Here is a 15,300-nt window from a genome sequence, read left to right on the forward strand (position 1 = left end):
ATATCTGTCTGTCTGCCTCCTCCCCAAGCACAAAAGACTTTGAGCTCCTTTGAGAAAGAAGCTGTGTAAATGCAGCACAATTACAGCGGTCATTATCACCGCCAAGGTACCAATCTGGGTAACGGGGTATCTGCAGTCATCATGGGAATGGAGCAGCGGGGTCCCCAACTGACCTCTTGTGCTTGGTCAGTTCAGGCTGTCAGTGGGGGAGGAATCCCAGCTGACTAGAGAGTCAGGATCCGTACATGGATCTTTTCAGGTGGGTACTTCCCGGTTAGCTTTGCCAAACTGGTTGGAGTGGTCTCAATCTCTAGAAGAGTGGTTCTCACATTCTAGCGAGTATCAAAACCACCTGGAGGACTTGTTCCAACAAAATCTCTGAGTCCCATTCCCAGATCTTCTAATTCACTTGGTCCAACGAGGGCACAAGAGTCTACATTTCTAACGAGTTCCCAGGTGATACTGATGCTGTTGGTCCAGGGGCCACACTTTGAGAGTCACTTCTCTAGAAAAAAAGATCTAACAATGAATTGATACCCAGCCAAGGAGAGACAAGCCTCCAAAGATGACAGAGCTGCTGGGCCTCGGGGCCTGCTCCAGGGGTCTGGGCCATGTGCGTGGTCTGGACTCCATGGAAGGTTTCACCAGCTGTGGTGTTGAGCTGTAATCATTGTTTTTCTTCCAGAAGTGTGCTCAGTAGACTGTGGCACTCACGGCGTCTGCATCGGGGGAGCCTGCCGCTGTGAAGAGGGCTGGACAGGCGCAGCGTGTGACCAGCGCGTGTGCCACCCCCGCTGCATTGAGCACGGGACCTGTAAAGATGGCAAATGTGAATGCCGAGAGGGCTGGAATGGTGAACACTGCACCATTGGTAGGCAAACGGCAGGCACCGAAACAGGCACATATTGCTTTATTTTCATAAATTGTAGATCTATAGTGATGGTCGCGCATGGCAACTGGCTGTTCCTTCAGGGACACAAGTGCTCTCCCACATTTCCTGCTGCCCCTCCAAATCTCCCAGGGGATAGGGAAGGAGAAAAATGAGGTCCCTAATTGGGAAGGGCTTTTCCTTCTTTCCAGGATTCCGAGTTGAAAGGAAAGGGACCAGAGCAGATAAGAAAACCCCTCCAAACTTGCAATCTCAGGGAGGGAGAAATGCACATGCATGGGAAACTGTCGGTGTCTGGGGGTTGCAAGCACCTCAAATCACTGTGGTCTGCAACTCTCCCCTTTTTAAATCCTCTCTCAGCTGGCTGGATCACTGGATCCCTGCTTGCTGGCAACAAGGTGAACTCACTAATTTTAGGTCAGGTTAGACGCAGGCAGGACTCTCAGGTTCCCTCCGTAGCAGGTACCACGGTAAGGTCCTGAGATTCCCCATCACCACCACCGTCATTACATGTCTCCTCCTCTGGTCCCATTTTATTCTCACTCAGCCACCTCTCTATAAAAGCTTCTGGACCAAGGATAATTTAAAGGTCATTTTCTTTGTTAAGAAGAAATAGTTTTGGAGTTTCTTCATTTTTATTTTTCTCTCTTTTTCGGCACAGTTGTGGTTTAGGGTAGGACTATACTGGATTAAACGTACCTAATCATCCCTTTGGTAGAGAAGCTGGGAGCCAATGCTGTTTGGCTTTGCACATCTCTCAGACAGTTGGGATGACAAAGTTGTCAACTTGAGCATCATTTTACCTCCGGTTTTTACTTTTGTTATTTAATTAGATCAAGCCTAGGATCCATTTTTATACTAAGCTGGTTAATCTACTTGCCTGCATGGAAATTCTCAAAGACGTTTCCAGCCAAACTACAGTTTGGCCCCTTGAAGTTACCTTTGATCCCAGCCATCAAGTTTGAGACCCTCCCCTCTGTCCCTGCCTAACAACCCCAGTCACAGATGGGCCACCTGGAGTGAGAGACAGGGCTAGGAGCTTGCGCAGGGCTGATTCATGAGATCAGACTCAATTTCCCATGCTGTTCATTTGGGTGGTTATACAGAGATAAAGTGGACTGACTCTGTATTCGATTTCTTCCGGTTCCATCTGATTGGGCATCCGAGGGGCAGCATGCCAATCAGGGCCACGACCATAGCACTGGGACCCTGCTGGGACAGTCTGTTGGCAGTGAATTGTTTTTGCAATCTCTCGATGACGCTCCAGGTCTTGCTCCCCTGCAGCCGCTTTTATCCTCAGTTCCCTGCAGAGTCTGAGGAATAATTCAAAAGACTTTCAGGGGACGGCTGTGCACAGCCCTATACTGAGACAGTTCTTACAATAGCTTCCATTCATCAGGGGCATTCCTTTTGCTGTACTATTGCATGCCTGGTGTTATTTACATGAAGATTCCCCTCCCCATATCTCCATTGCCCCAAATCCTCCCCTCAAAAGCTCTTGCCAATCATCAGCGTTGAGGTGGATAATCCTACTTTCTTTTAATTCACACAATCCAACCTCACCTCCCCTTTGCTCCCCCTTCCCACATCTGGGGGACAGAGGGGCAGGGTTAGTGTTTCCACAATGATGCCTGCTGGCTCTCTCCTACCTACAATCTGTCTTTACTTTGGAAATAGCTCACAAGAGGGCAGTCCAGATGGATTCGAGCAGGAGTCGCCAAACTACGGCCAGAGGGCCAAATCTGGCCTGCTGCCTGTTTTTCCATGGCTTGCCAGCTAAGAATAGTTTTTACATTTTCTAAGGGTTGAAAACAAATCCAAAGAAAACTATTTCCTGGCACGTGACAATGATACGAAATTCACATTTCAGTGACCATAAACAAAGTATTATTACAGGACACCCACACCCATTCACTGATGCCTCGCCAGCTTCCATGCCACCTGTCAGCACTGAGTAATTAGGAGACCGCATGGCCCACAAAGCTGCTTGTGTGGCCCGTTATGGGAAAAAAAAAAAAAAAGGCTAACTCCTGAATTGCACAAATCTTGATGGATAGAGGGGAGAAAAGCAAGGCAGGTCCACACCCCCATTAAGAAAAGGACACCAACTGTAGCTTGAAGGATCTGAGGGGTCTACTCCAGATATCGCAGAGTGGGAGTGGAGAAAAAACAGTAGATGTGCTGAAATGCTTCCGGGGCCCTTGAAAAAGAGATGGGAAGATGACAACTTTGGTCTCAGCAGAGAACAGCAAGGAATTGGCCAACAAGAGAACATAGATGTTTCGGTCAAGCTAGTCCTTTGGGTGAGATAAGTTGGAAAAAAAGGTGTTTCTGCCACTTGAAGTGTTTGGTACAGGTTTCACATCTTTGTGAGATGACATACATGAGTTCTTGAGAGACATTCAGAAAGTGTAAATTGATATGCCAGCTAAAGCTCCCAAAATGAAGAGAGTGCTGGTCCAGTATAGTCTCTTGTTCAGAACGATGATCTCCTGTGACTTTAGAGTTTGTGCTCTGTATGTTATAAAGATCTTTACTACCAAAGCCTTTTCTTGTGAGAAATTAGGGCTCTGTGTCTTTATTAGTAGGACATGTGCCATCTCCTCATAGTTATGTTCACTGTGGTTTTCTCAAAAACAAAGCCAAGCATACCTTGATCAGTGAGATTTGCCATTCAAAAACCAGAGAGATGTTCATACATGCATAATTGCATCTTTAGCTTTTCTATCTCCGGCCCCCAGAGCTGCTTTGGGGAGTTTTATTCTTCTAGTTTGAGCAGACACTTCTGTCATTTCATTTAAAGTAAATGCCACAATTTACAAGCCCAGCATCAGTTCTCCTCCTTGGGGATACTGACAGAGAGGAAATGGGGGCTCTTTGGTCCTTTCCAAGCACAGCCTCAAATGCTATATTTTGAAAATAGAAAATACAGAAAAATGACATGGTACCAAGTCAGCAAACAATGCATAGGGAAATTTTGGGTAAGGCAGAATTGTGGGAGTTAGTGTTGGACACTTGGGTTGTCTGCGACCTGTTTACAAAAGGTCATAGGTGGTTTTCTTGGGGTCATTGCAAATAGTCAACTGAACAATTCACATCAGTCCTTGTGGATTACATTTACTGTACTAAAAGGATCAAAAAGAGAAATGGGGAAAAAAGATGAGGACACAAGGACAGACTTCTAAAACTTAGTCAGGTGGAAGCCCCAGGATCAGTCCATGTTTGGTTAATGCCTTTCTGGAATTTGCAACCAAATTATTTATATTTGAAAATGTAGTAGAGATTGCTAAACATTTAAATATAAGGTATAAGACTTCAATGTTAACTGTTAGAGCTAACTTATTGACAGACTGGATTCTACCAAGCAATGACTGTTATATAACCTTTTCCTTAAAAGTTAAATATATGGCATGGCTAAAATCTACAGAATTGTGTAGATAAAAAATATACTTTGAATACATATCAGCCACAATTCATGTGTATCTTTGGAATATATTAGCATTTTTTGTATAGCGTGCAGTTTACTCTTATGACTAGCGCAGACGGCACATTGTGTGGCTAGAAGAGGTTTATTCTTTAAACATAATTTTAAAATGGGTTGTTGTTCCTGTCATCTGCCACCACCACCACCATCACCCCTTGTTAATACTGGGACCTAGGCCAGGTGCAGTGGCTCATGCCTGTAATCCCAGCACTTTGGGAGGCTGAGGTAGACGGACCACTTGAGATCAGGAGTTTGAGACCAGCCTGACCAACATGGTGAAACCCTGTCACTACAAAAATTAGCTGGGCATGGTGGTACGTGCCTGTAGTCCCAGCTACTTGGGAGGCCGATGTGGGAGAATCGCTTGAGCCCAGGGAGGCAGAGATTGCAGTGAGCCAAGATCACACCATGGCACTCCAGCCTGAGTGACAGAGCGAGATCCTGTCTCAAAAAAAATACTGGTACCTAACATCAAAAGGCCATGCAAAGCCTGTAACACCAGGACATGGAGGAACTATAGAATGTGTGTAATAATAGATCAAAATCACTAAGAACTATATATAGTAAATGTAGATCAGCGTCTCATGAAGAGGTAAAGTAGATGTTAGCGTGTGTTAATGAGCAGAACAATTGGGCAAAATGCAAGAAGAAGCCAACATTTGCATTGCCGGGGAATCAAGGAGGGATGCTACATGCTAACTGTGGACTCTTGCAATTATCTCCTGAACATGGGCTACCCAGACATCTGCTCCGAATAATACAAACTAACCCGCAGACTAAATCTGCCCACTCTGGGCACTTCCCAACCCTGAGTGAACTGTTTGATATCTGGGTAGTGAGTAAAGGCTGCAATGGTTATTTCAACTTGTGTATTTTATCTATGTGGTCCTAACCTCCGATTTCATCTCAGAATCATAAGGGCTTGATTCCTAGGACCTTGTGAGGCTGAGTGACCTGCCCAGGTGCCACAAGTCAGTACAGTTTTCTTTTCCCTGTATCGCACTGGGCCCTTCTATTTTTCCTCTTTAATTGGTTGGGGAAAGAAATCGGTGCTTGTGATGTTAATAAGGAAAATGAATCTTTACCCAAGGTAAAACCAGCCGTGCGATGATCCGATGTGCTGATTAAGTGATTGTCATCAGAAGTAGACAGGGTCACAGTCCAAGAGGGAGAGTGCTTCAGAACAATAGGGAACAGGTTGAGAAGAAAGTGATTGTCAGAATTAACCAACTTCAGACTGAGGACAGCTGCTTCTGAATCTCATTCCAGTCTCATTCTAAGTTATGAAAACTTTTTTTTTCTTGTGGCTATTGTCCTTGAACACTTGAGCTTTCATGACTCTACAGTGAGATCAAGTTGAGATGAAATTAGCCACTGTGGAGCCATCCTTACCACCAGGCCTGTGGAATCAGCTAATTCTCTGATTGGTTAATTAACCTATTCCTCCAGGGGCTCTTATTAGAACTATCCTTGGAGTTCCTTTTTTTATTTTAAGTGAAAACCTAAAGCGATGGCCTTTTACTGATAAAGATTATGGATAAACTTTTAACAGAATGCAAAAGCTGTTCCATTGCTGATTCTCCCCCACCACCCCCCTATAATTTGGCCAAAACATGAGCTTCCTTACTGCAGATCAGGAGTCACCACATGCCCAGAAGTTCTTTTTGAGTCTGGGTCAGACAGTCTGCCAGAGGTTTCCTATCTAATCCCAGAACAAGGACTGGGAGACAGACTTACAGAAACATGTTTTCACATCACTGCAAAAACATAAAAGGAAAGAAAATAACGGCTTTACAAGCAGCAAGAGTCTCATCACTGGAAGCATTTGCTTTCTTGTCCTAGACGTTGAAGGGCTTTCAGCATCAGTAGAAACATAGACAAGATAGACACAAACTACATTCTAACTTTATGACTCATCATTCTGTAGTTTAGATGGAAGCATTTTTTTGTATTTTTATGTGATTTAGTAATGTCTGCTCATGTTATGAGCTCCCATCAAAAAAGAAAAGAGGAGAAGAATTCTTGGTGTTTTAGCTCTGTGGGGAGACAGTGATTTGTGTCGTACTCTGCGCTGTTCCCTTACTGTTTCAGGGGAACTGGTTTGATGGACTAGCTTGTGGCTCACAGTGATGGGGCCAAGCTTGCTGAGTCAATAGCTTGATATAAGGTATTCCTTCCTGACTTCACCAGAGCAAAGAATTGAACAGTTTGGAACTCTTGCAACATAAACTCATGGATGAGAGTTAACACAAGTAAGATTCCAGGCTCAAAGAAAGGGGACCATGTAATAAGAGCTGTTGAAAAACATGGGATGCATTGTCCTAATGTATAGTGAGTGTTCTGCACTTGAGCTTTTATAGAGAATCCACGTGCCTTCCAAGTCTGTGACTCTGGGCTTTCACAATACGCACTAAAGATTTTCCATCAAAGGAGAAGGGAAAACAAAGTGGTTCCTGGAGAGCTGAGCTCCCTTAGATATTTGTGATGGACATCTTTCTTATCACTTGGTAGCCAATTCATTGTGGTATCATGAACAGTAGACTGGCTGATGAAGGAGGACATCTGTGTTCTAGCTTTGACTCTACCATATACATTTTGTATATCCTGGAGCAAGTCACCAAGCCTTCCCGACCTCAATTTCTCCATGTGGCAAATGAAAGGGTTGGATCACATCATTGCCTTCCAGGGCATGATACACAAACTTGAGATGCTTTTCATTGGTGTACAAATATACCTTATTGAATAGTCATGTAGGGCTTTTTAAAATAGATACAGTATTAGGAAAAAATATAACTAGCACATCAAACTGATGATTATACAGCTATTATTGCTTAGGGAGGGGGCAAAAGTAGGTAGTGATATTAGGCCTGAGTAAATTTAAAGAAAAATATTAAGTAAATAGTACAGATATTGCAAATGTCATAAATGCAGCGTGTGATTGACTGAATTTAGAACACATTTGAATGAGCTGATCTCTAAGGACCTGTCCATTTCTAGGATTTCATTACTTTTGATGCAGAAACATATGAATGGGTTATTCTAATGCAATCAAGCCTTTCTCTCTTCTGTAAGGCAGGTTTTCAATGTAGGCTCCCATAATATACACTAAAGACTTTACATTCAAGGGACAGATACAGCAGAGTGCTGCCCAGCTGATGAGGCATTGTTGAATTATTGAGGATAGTGAATGGAGCTTTTGTTGTTTGTTTGATTGTCTGCTCACCTCAGCTCCAATTTATATCTGGTTTACCTAGGGAATCTTTTGTACATTGAAAAACTTCCTTGCATAAGTTGAATCATCAGGCCCCACTTCGTCCATTTATATTTTTTAATAAAAAGAAAAGACATGGCTCATCCATCCACGTCTGCTTCACTTGAATCCAGAGAAATGCAAGCATGATAACAGAGTTTTTAAGAACACAGGATTTTGTGGCAAGACGTGGTGGCTCATGCCTGTAATCCCAGCACTTTGGGAAGCTGGGGCAGGCAGATCACTTGAGGTCAGGAGTTTGAGACCAGCCTGGCCAATATGGTGAAACCCCGCCTCTACTAAACATACAAAAATTAGCCAGGTATGGTGGTGCACACCTGTAATCCCAGCTACTCAGGAGGCTGAGCCATGAGAATCCCTCGAACCCAGGAGGTGGAGGTTGCAGTGAGCTGAGATCATGCCACTGCACTCTAGCCTAGGCGACAGAGTGAGACTCTGTCTCAAAAAAAAACAAAACAAAACAAAAAAATAGGCTCTTGTGTCATTCTACCTGAGATTAAATCCTGGTAGCTTTTCTAACCTTTATGTGTCTCAGTTTCTTTGTCTGTAAAATGGGGGATACCAAATAGCACCTATCTCACTGGGACATATGTAAAGTACTTGGCACAGTGCCTACCATAAAGTAAGAGCCAGATACATGTAAGCTGTTATCATCATCACCATCATTGTCTAGCACCAATGCAGGACAAATTGCCAGGTGTGGTGGCTCATGCCTGTAATCCCAGCACTTTGGGAGGCCGAGGCGGGTGGATCGCCTGAGGTCAGGAGTTCGAGACCAGCCTGGACAACATAGTGAAACCCCATCTCTACTAAAAATACAAAAAATTAGCTGGGTGTGGTGGCGAGCACCTGTAATCCTAGCTACTCAGGAGGCTGAGGCAGGAGAATCACTTGAACTCGGGAGGCAGAGGTTGCAGTGAGCCGAGATTGCGCCATTGCACTCCAGCCTGGGCAACAAGAGTGAAACTCTGTCTCAAAAGAAAAAAAAATTCTCATTAGACATTTCTTCCACTTCCAACCTCCCTTTCACAAATTTGCTTCCAATCCCTCAAGAAGTTAGTAGCATGTCAAAATCACACCCACCCACTTTTCCAAACAAAGGTTGTTCAGCAACCTGCTGGCTTCTGGTTCTTACAGACAAACATAAACTGCCTCTCTTACCCGGAATGGAACCTGCTTATTTTACCAGATGGCCTCATTGACTGTATGTAGAAGAAGGAAGCTGGCATTTCTCAAGTTTGAGGATGCTGCCTAGCCAGCGTCTTAGAACACAGCATCCTGTCTCTCCTTTTCTTACTTCTTTTCATTCCTCATGACTCTCTATTCCATGGGCTCTGAGCATCAAGAAATCATTTAGGAGACCCAAATTTGACTCAATCAAGTACCACGCATGCCTTCTGGAAAATCAAGACTCTCATTGATTCTGTCCCCATTCAGCCTGATAAACTTCACAGTTACCCTCATTCCTCCCACGCTGCAATTTCTTGGCTCCTTTGGAGCATGACCCATGTGTAACATCTGGGGATTCGTTGCAATTTTTTGGTTCATCTCCTGGGTTATCTGCAGCCACACAGATATCCCAGATGTTCATGTAAGCAGCAGACTTTATTTTTCCTCGCAAGTTTCCTGCCTAATTGGGTTCAATCTTTACCAACCCTCTTTTTTCATAGCATTCTATTTCACGAGCTCTTCTTTAAAAGCTTGCTGTTATTGCCTTTGGAAAATAGAATGCCATCATCTTGAAAACCTGCCAGTCAAAAATGGGGTTTATTGCTTGCTTCTTTATCCTTTTCACCATGCACTTATATGCATTGTTATAATCAGACCCACAAAAGGTAACCACATCGTTGGCTATTATTGAACTTTTCCATTAATGGGTAATAAAGAACCCACACAAAATAGCAGCTACACGAAATTTAAGTATTTCATCATAAACAGTCTCAGGATAATTAGAATGGATTAAATTACAAGAGAAAATGCATTTAGTTAATCTTCCCTCTAATTAAAAAAAAAATCCCTAGTTTTAAGTAAAGTGTTCGTTTTTAAAAACATATTTTCATTGTAATCAGTAAAGGAGAGGCCTGTTTGGTCCCCAGTGATAGGACGAAACATCTGCAAAGTTGCATCCGGAAACATCTGAATAGCTACCAGCCAGTGTTTTTTTGGTTTTGGGTTTTGGGCAGGGGTTTTATTATTAAGGTCCTTAAAGAATGAGTCTGGTCTTTTCCCATTGCTGTTACCAAGGGATTCTCTACAAATAGCCTCATTCCATAGTCCATGGTGGCATTCCTTTCTGTTCTGAGATCGCTGATGATGTGGTTGACTCCCCTTGACCAACATGTGTCAAGTGAGAAGATTAACTCAGCAGATGTTTATATATTCTGACCGAGCTGGGGTAAGAGTCAAAATGAAACTGGTAGGTGACGTGAGAAGTTTTCAAGATAGAACGGACACGTACTCCAGCCCTTCATGATGCTATTCCAAGACAGATAGGACTGAAATCACCCTAAGCCCTACGAGTGTGTCCCACAAATAAGGAATCATTCACATCACCTCACCAATTTCTTGGCTCATCCCAACTGCAAAGCTCACTCCACACTTTCATCCCAAGGGCCTCTAGAAGTTTCCAAGAGTGTCTTGCATGCTCATATTTAACCCAATCTGATTTTACAAGCTTAGTCCCTTCATTGAAACCTGCTGCCTGAGAAATACACTTACAGGGACTCCTACAGCACTGCCCCTACTGCCAGGATCCATGCCAAGGTTGTGTTCCCCCGTGCCAGCAGCACCATTGGTGCTCACGCTACTGAAGTCCTGCTGTGTTTACACAGTAAAGGAGAGAACACCACACTCCCCAGCTTTATCAACGGGTCCAAAGTTCCTTTGAGAAGACAAACCTTCACTTTTTGCCAATAGTGGCTCTCCCATACATCAAGGTTTTGTCCCAGCGCTGAGCTGTCGAACAGACACCACAGAGTCCTTTTTGTATCCTCACCTCTCCTCACCCTTAGACAGGCTCTCAACCCAGGGTAGTGGAGGATGCTTACAAGTTCTTTAAGCTCAGCCAGTCTCTGAATCCCAGTTTATACTCAGTCAGGACCCCTACCATTTAGATAAGCGGCTCTTAAAGAAAATCCTTTTCTCTTCATTTAGGTTAAGGGTTGCCTTCATTTTGAGCCAGCTCAACTGCAAATGCAAGAGCCCCTGTGATCTCCCTCCTTCATAATAATCGCATCCCAGTTGGAATGGAGAGGGGACTGCTTACATATCCCCTAGACTCCAGGTTCCAAACAGTTTCAGCACAGCTCTTTGAGGCCACTCCATTTAATCATGCATGAGACCCAGCACCATGCAGTGCAAACTGAACATCACAAAAAGTACGTCCTGCCAGTTCCCAGAGAAAGAAAGGGTTAACCAATGGTCTAGAGACGGAAAGCCCCACATAATTGCTGCCCAGGAGGAATTAAAAGAGCTGAGAATCCTGGGCTATACATTCCAAGTTTAGCCACCACAGCACCTGGTCAAATTAGCAATGAAGTTGGTTAGAGGTTGGCCCAGAAGGGTCATCTTTCCAAAGCTGTAAGCAGAGGGAGAAGCTCTGATAAGTGTGAATTGCATGTCATTATTTCAAAAAGTATGCTTTAACTTCAAGAGGGATTGCCAGACAGCCCTGTCTAGGTGTCTAGAAACAATGCCAGGGAGTGGGGGAGTCCCCAAGATTACAAAATAACCACCTCACAAGCACAGAGGAAATGTTTGTACCTGATTTTATTCCAACAAGTTAGCCAGCTGTCAATCACCGGTCATGCTATTGCATCTGAAACACATCCTGTCTAATGACACAAAACTCAAAACGGTGGCTTCTGCTTTGCAGATAGCATCCTGGCAACAGGGCAAGGAGATTGTTTCCCTATATTAGGTGTGTGTGAGCCCAGAAAGCCTAAATGTCACTGATGATTGCAATCCCTGTGAATAAGAAAAGAGATGGAAGATACCGGAGGCAGTGTGAGAAACTAGCTTTTTCCTATTAATCCCAGCAAAGCAGGCAAGTCAAGTTGGGTCCCTTAAGCATGTTACTGTCAACTTCTTGCTATATGTTGAATATGAACTGATTTAACTTTTTGCTTCCATTTAATGGGGCCAAGAAAGATCAGTATCTATTCACTTACAGACCTACTCCCTGGAGGTCTGATACAGGAAGTGTTATCGTATCCTAGAGAGAAGCCTAGCACAGACAACAGTCTACCCAGGATTAAGCAGTTTAAAATGCATAATACACAACAAAACCCACTCCAAACTCTCAATCATCTCCCACGTTATGTTTATAGAATGTAACATCTTTTCTCTTTGCTATTAACATTCTTTGTCAATGCTTGACTATGGCTGGTTTTATGCATTCCAAGTTTGAGGCAGTTTGGGGAATTATGTAGCAAAAGAATTAAATGCCTGAGATTTGGGATCAAACAGGACTGCCTTCAAATCCACCTTCCATCACTTGCAAGTTGGGTGACCTTTAACAAGCTATGTGTCTTCAATAAGCCTCAGTTTTTCCCGTCTGTAAATTGGGAATAATAAATAATACCTACGACCTACTGTATTGAGGATTTCACTGATGGAGAGCACTTAACATATGCTTGCTACTCTGTAAGTGTTAGCTTAAAAATTATTAACACCACACTTTCATATCTTTACTGTAGTTTCCCAAATGTGTCTTCACAGAGTGAATGGCTAAGAAAATTGTAGAGATAGCAAACAACCCAAAATTTCCCAAAGGGTCCAAAATTCCAGAAAGAGAAGCCAAGGGTGCCACACCTCATGTGTCCACACAGGTGCTCGTGGCCCTCCTGCTATTTCACTGTTCCAAGACAAGTTCCTTGGAACAGCTGGTTTCTATTCCATTCAGCAGGGAGCACAGGGAGAGAGAGGAAAGCAGGAAGGGACATGGAAATGGCCCACTTAGGATCCATTTGCTGGTTTTAAGAACATGGTGTTCTAAACATCAATAAGAAAGCCACACACATCATCCATGGTAACATGTCTGGGGTCTACACCCCCTCCATCTGTTTCCAGATGGGCAGTGATAACTGTATTCAATCATTTGGGAAGCATTCATTGAGTGCCTAACATGTGCCAGCACAGTACTGGGTGTGACACATGAGCCACCTCTGTGTGAATATCACCGAGGCAGCAAGGACAAGAAAGAAGTGGTTTGCAGAGGGTGGTAATCATGGGAACTTTAGACCTCAGCTGCCTTTTTGCCCACTTGAGACTTTGATGTTTTCTAACCCAAGACACCCTTCTCACTGTTTCTATCAATAATGTTTGGTTAATTTTTCAACATTGTCCTTGCTCAAGCTTCCCAAGGAGGTCAATATAAGGATGGAGGCCTTTAACTTCAAATAGTAGTTTAAATTCATTTGCAACACAATGTAATTGCATAAAAGAAAGTAGTCAAATATCAAACTGTATGGATACACACAAATGACTCCCTCATAAGTGTTAATATCTTCCACAATGGAGGAAACTTAGTTAAATCAAATGAAGGTGGCAACTCATTAAAATTTGATTTTCCCTCCTATCCTTTTTTATCTTTTAATCCTCTGTATATGGCACAACTTGTTCTGTTAAATAACACTCATTAATGAAATCTCATCTTCTCTTAGCTATATCTATTTTATTTATTTTGAAAACCTTCAGATGCTTATAATCTAATTTAGTTAGATTACTGCTTGGACATCTCTAAGTAGGAAAACTTTGAGCTTTTAAGGTGGAATTACTGGCAAAGGCTAGAAGTGAGAGAAACCAGTTCTCTTCCCATTTCCCCTTGGTAGGAGGTGGTTGGGCAGGCCTTTCCTCTGTGAGGGGACTGGGCCTCCATTTGGTTAATGAGGGCACTATGAATTAAGTATCTGTGTTGATTCAGGGAAGGGGAGGGAGGGAAGAGCCTCTAGAAAGAGTTGTAAACTCAAATTCCCATACATGGGGTAGGCGAGAATGACGTAAAGTGGGTGCATTCAACAGGGTGTAAGAGGCCAGGGAGGGGTGACAAACTGGAAAGTGAATGTCCCACCTATGGAGGGCAGACATGACCCAGCTCCAGCTGAACATGGCCATGTAGAAATGCAAGCCTAGTCTTCCCCAAATTTCCAATTTTTCAGTAGAGGCCAGATATTTGGATTGTTATGTATGGTCTCCCAATTTTCAAATGCTGGCAAGCAACTAAAAATGTATTAAAATGTTGTGCAGGCCATTCAAACAAGACTGGGGGCCAAATGGACCACCCATCTGTGACTACTGACACCTACCTCCAGGGCAGGATTAGTATTGAGTGAGGAAGCATCATTTGCCTGGATTGAGACTGGGACAGCTTTGGCTTCTCTTGTTTGATGCCCCATCTCTCCTTGGTAACTGGTTTAAGCTGGTGGGAGTCTCATTACCATGATACAATGGTGATACTTTGCACTTGCATGGTGAATTTTCTCCAAGGAGCTCAAAAGACTTTGTGTTGCCTCAGTCAACCTCACAGCAAGCCTGTGAAGCAGGCAGGTAGCCATTGCCCCCAAACACAATGAGCAACAACAGAAAGTATTTTACACAAAGCAGCTAGGTGGACTCATTGGCTTAAATCCAGCATCTACACTATTGGCAAATACAGCATTCAAGAAGCGTGGGCAGGATTTCCCACTAATGCCTCCCCTGCCACCCTTTTCAGCTTATCTTCCTTCCATCTGCTCCAAATGGCAGCTAAGCCCCAAATCTCAACAACAAATACCAGCAAACCAAGCCAGTGACTAATCCCTGTTGTGTGTATGAGTGTATACACGTCTGTGTGCATGCGTGTGTGTGCGCCCACCTGACTTCTTAGCATACCCAGCCCGGTACATCTGCATCCATTACAACGTGTCTCTGCATTGGTCATTGGTCTAATGCCATGCTCTGAAATGCTACTTTTGCAAGTGTTTAAGACCTAAAAACTTCAAATGGTACCTTCAGGATTCTGGATACCTGTATTTTGCTAACGGTGCCTAATAATTTGTGCTGCTTGGGAACCCTGTGTCCCTTTCTCTTCCTTATGCTGATAAAATTACAACTGTGAAGTCTTTCCCTGACAGAGCTAGAATACGGCCCTCTCTCAGGCTACTGCAGGTTCATAGGAGTGGCCATGTAAAATAGAGATAAGGGCCAGAGCCGTGCAGTGGAGGCCAGGGACAAGAATCTTCTCTGAGTTGCCTTGGATAGAACACCCGAGAAAGTTGGACTGAGCAGCAGTGACTGGGGCTCCTCCAGAGTCATCATTTTCCCCTGTATGACTGGGTTCAAGAGCTTTGCTACATAGTCCCGCTGGGCTATGCCTTCCCCTCTGCTTGATGGACATATGTGCTCTATGTCCTGCTCTACTCAGAGAATTCCTTGGGCTTTGCAGGCATGACCCAGAGAGAAGATTCCAGTTCAGCAGTGTAAACCTGTTGATCTTTTTCCCAGGACAGGACAGCACAACACAAGTATTCTGCATTTTCTAGATTGCCTTGCTCTTCCTTCTAAATTGTCTCAGATCAGGCTACTGATTTCTGGGAACAGTTCCCAGCATGATATTCTACTATAATCATTCACATTCTCTGCATGCAGGCATGCCATAAACATCCTTCAGAGGCAGAT

At 43.7% G+C, this 15,300-nt stretch overlaps 1 protein-coding gene across 33 annotated transcripts in view; it reads left to right on the forward strand.

Annotated features, from left to right (window-relative positions):
• TENM2 (teneurin transmembrane protein 2) overlaps positions 1-15,300 on the forward strand; it is a 1,285,129-nt gene that overhangs the window by 1,147,040 nt on the left and 122,789 nt on the right. For 16 of the 33 annotated variants that reach the window (NM_001395460.1, XM_017009661.2, XM_017009662.2 and 13 more), the window contains one exon: positions 686-898. The exons of 4 other annotated variants lie outside the window; for them this stretch is intronic. In NM_001395460.1, the coding sequence (NP_001382389.1) occupies positions 686-898 (213 nt within the window). The remainder of the gene's footprint in view (positions 1-685; positions 899-15,300) is intronic. 13 more of the 33 variants (XM_047417418.1, XM_005265950.3, NM_001122679.2 and 10 more) reach the window with 1 other exon arrangement.

This window comes from Homo sapiens, chromosome 5 (assembly GCF_000001405.40).
Source record: "Homo sapiens chromosome 5, GRCh38.p14 Primary Assembly".
In the NCBI taxonomy this organism is placed as follows: Eukaryota; Metazoa; Chordata; class Mammalia; order Primates; family Hominidae; genus Homo; species Homo sapiens.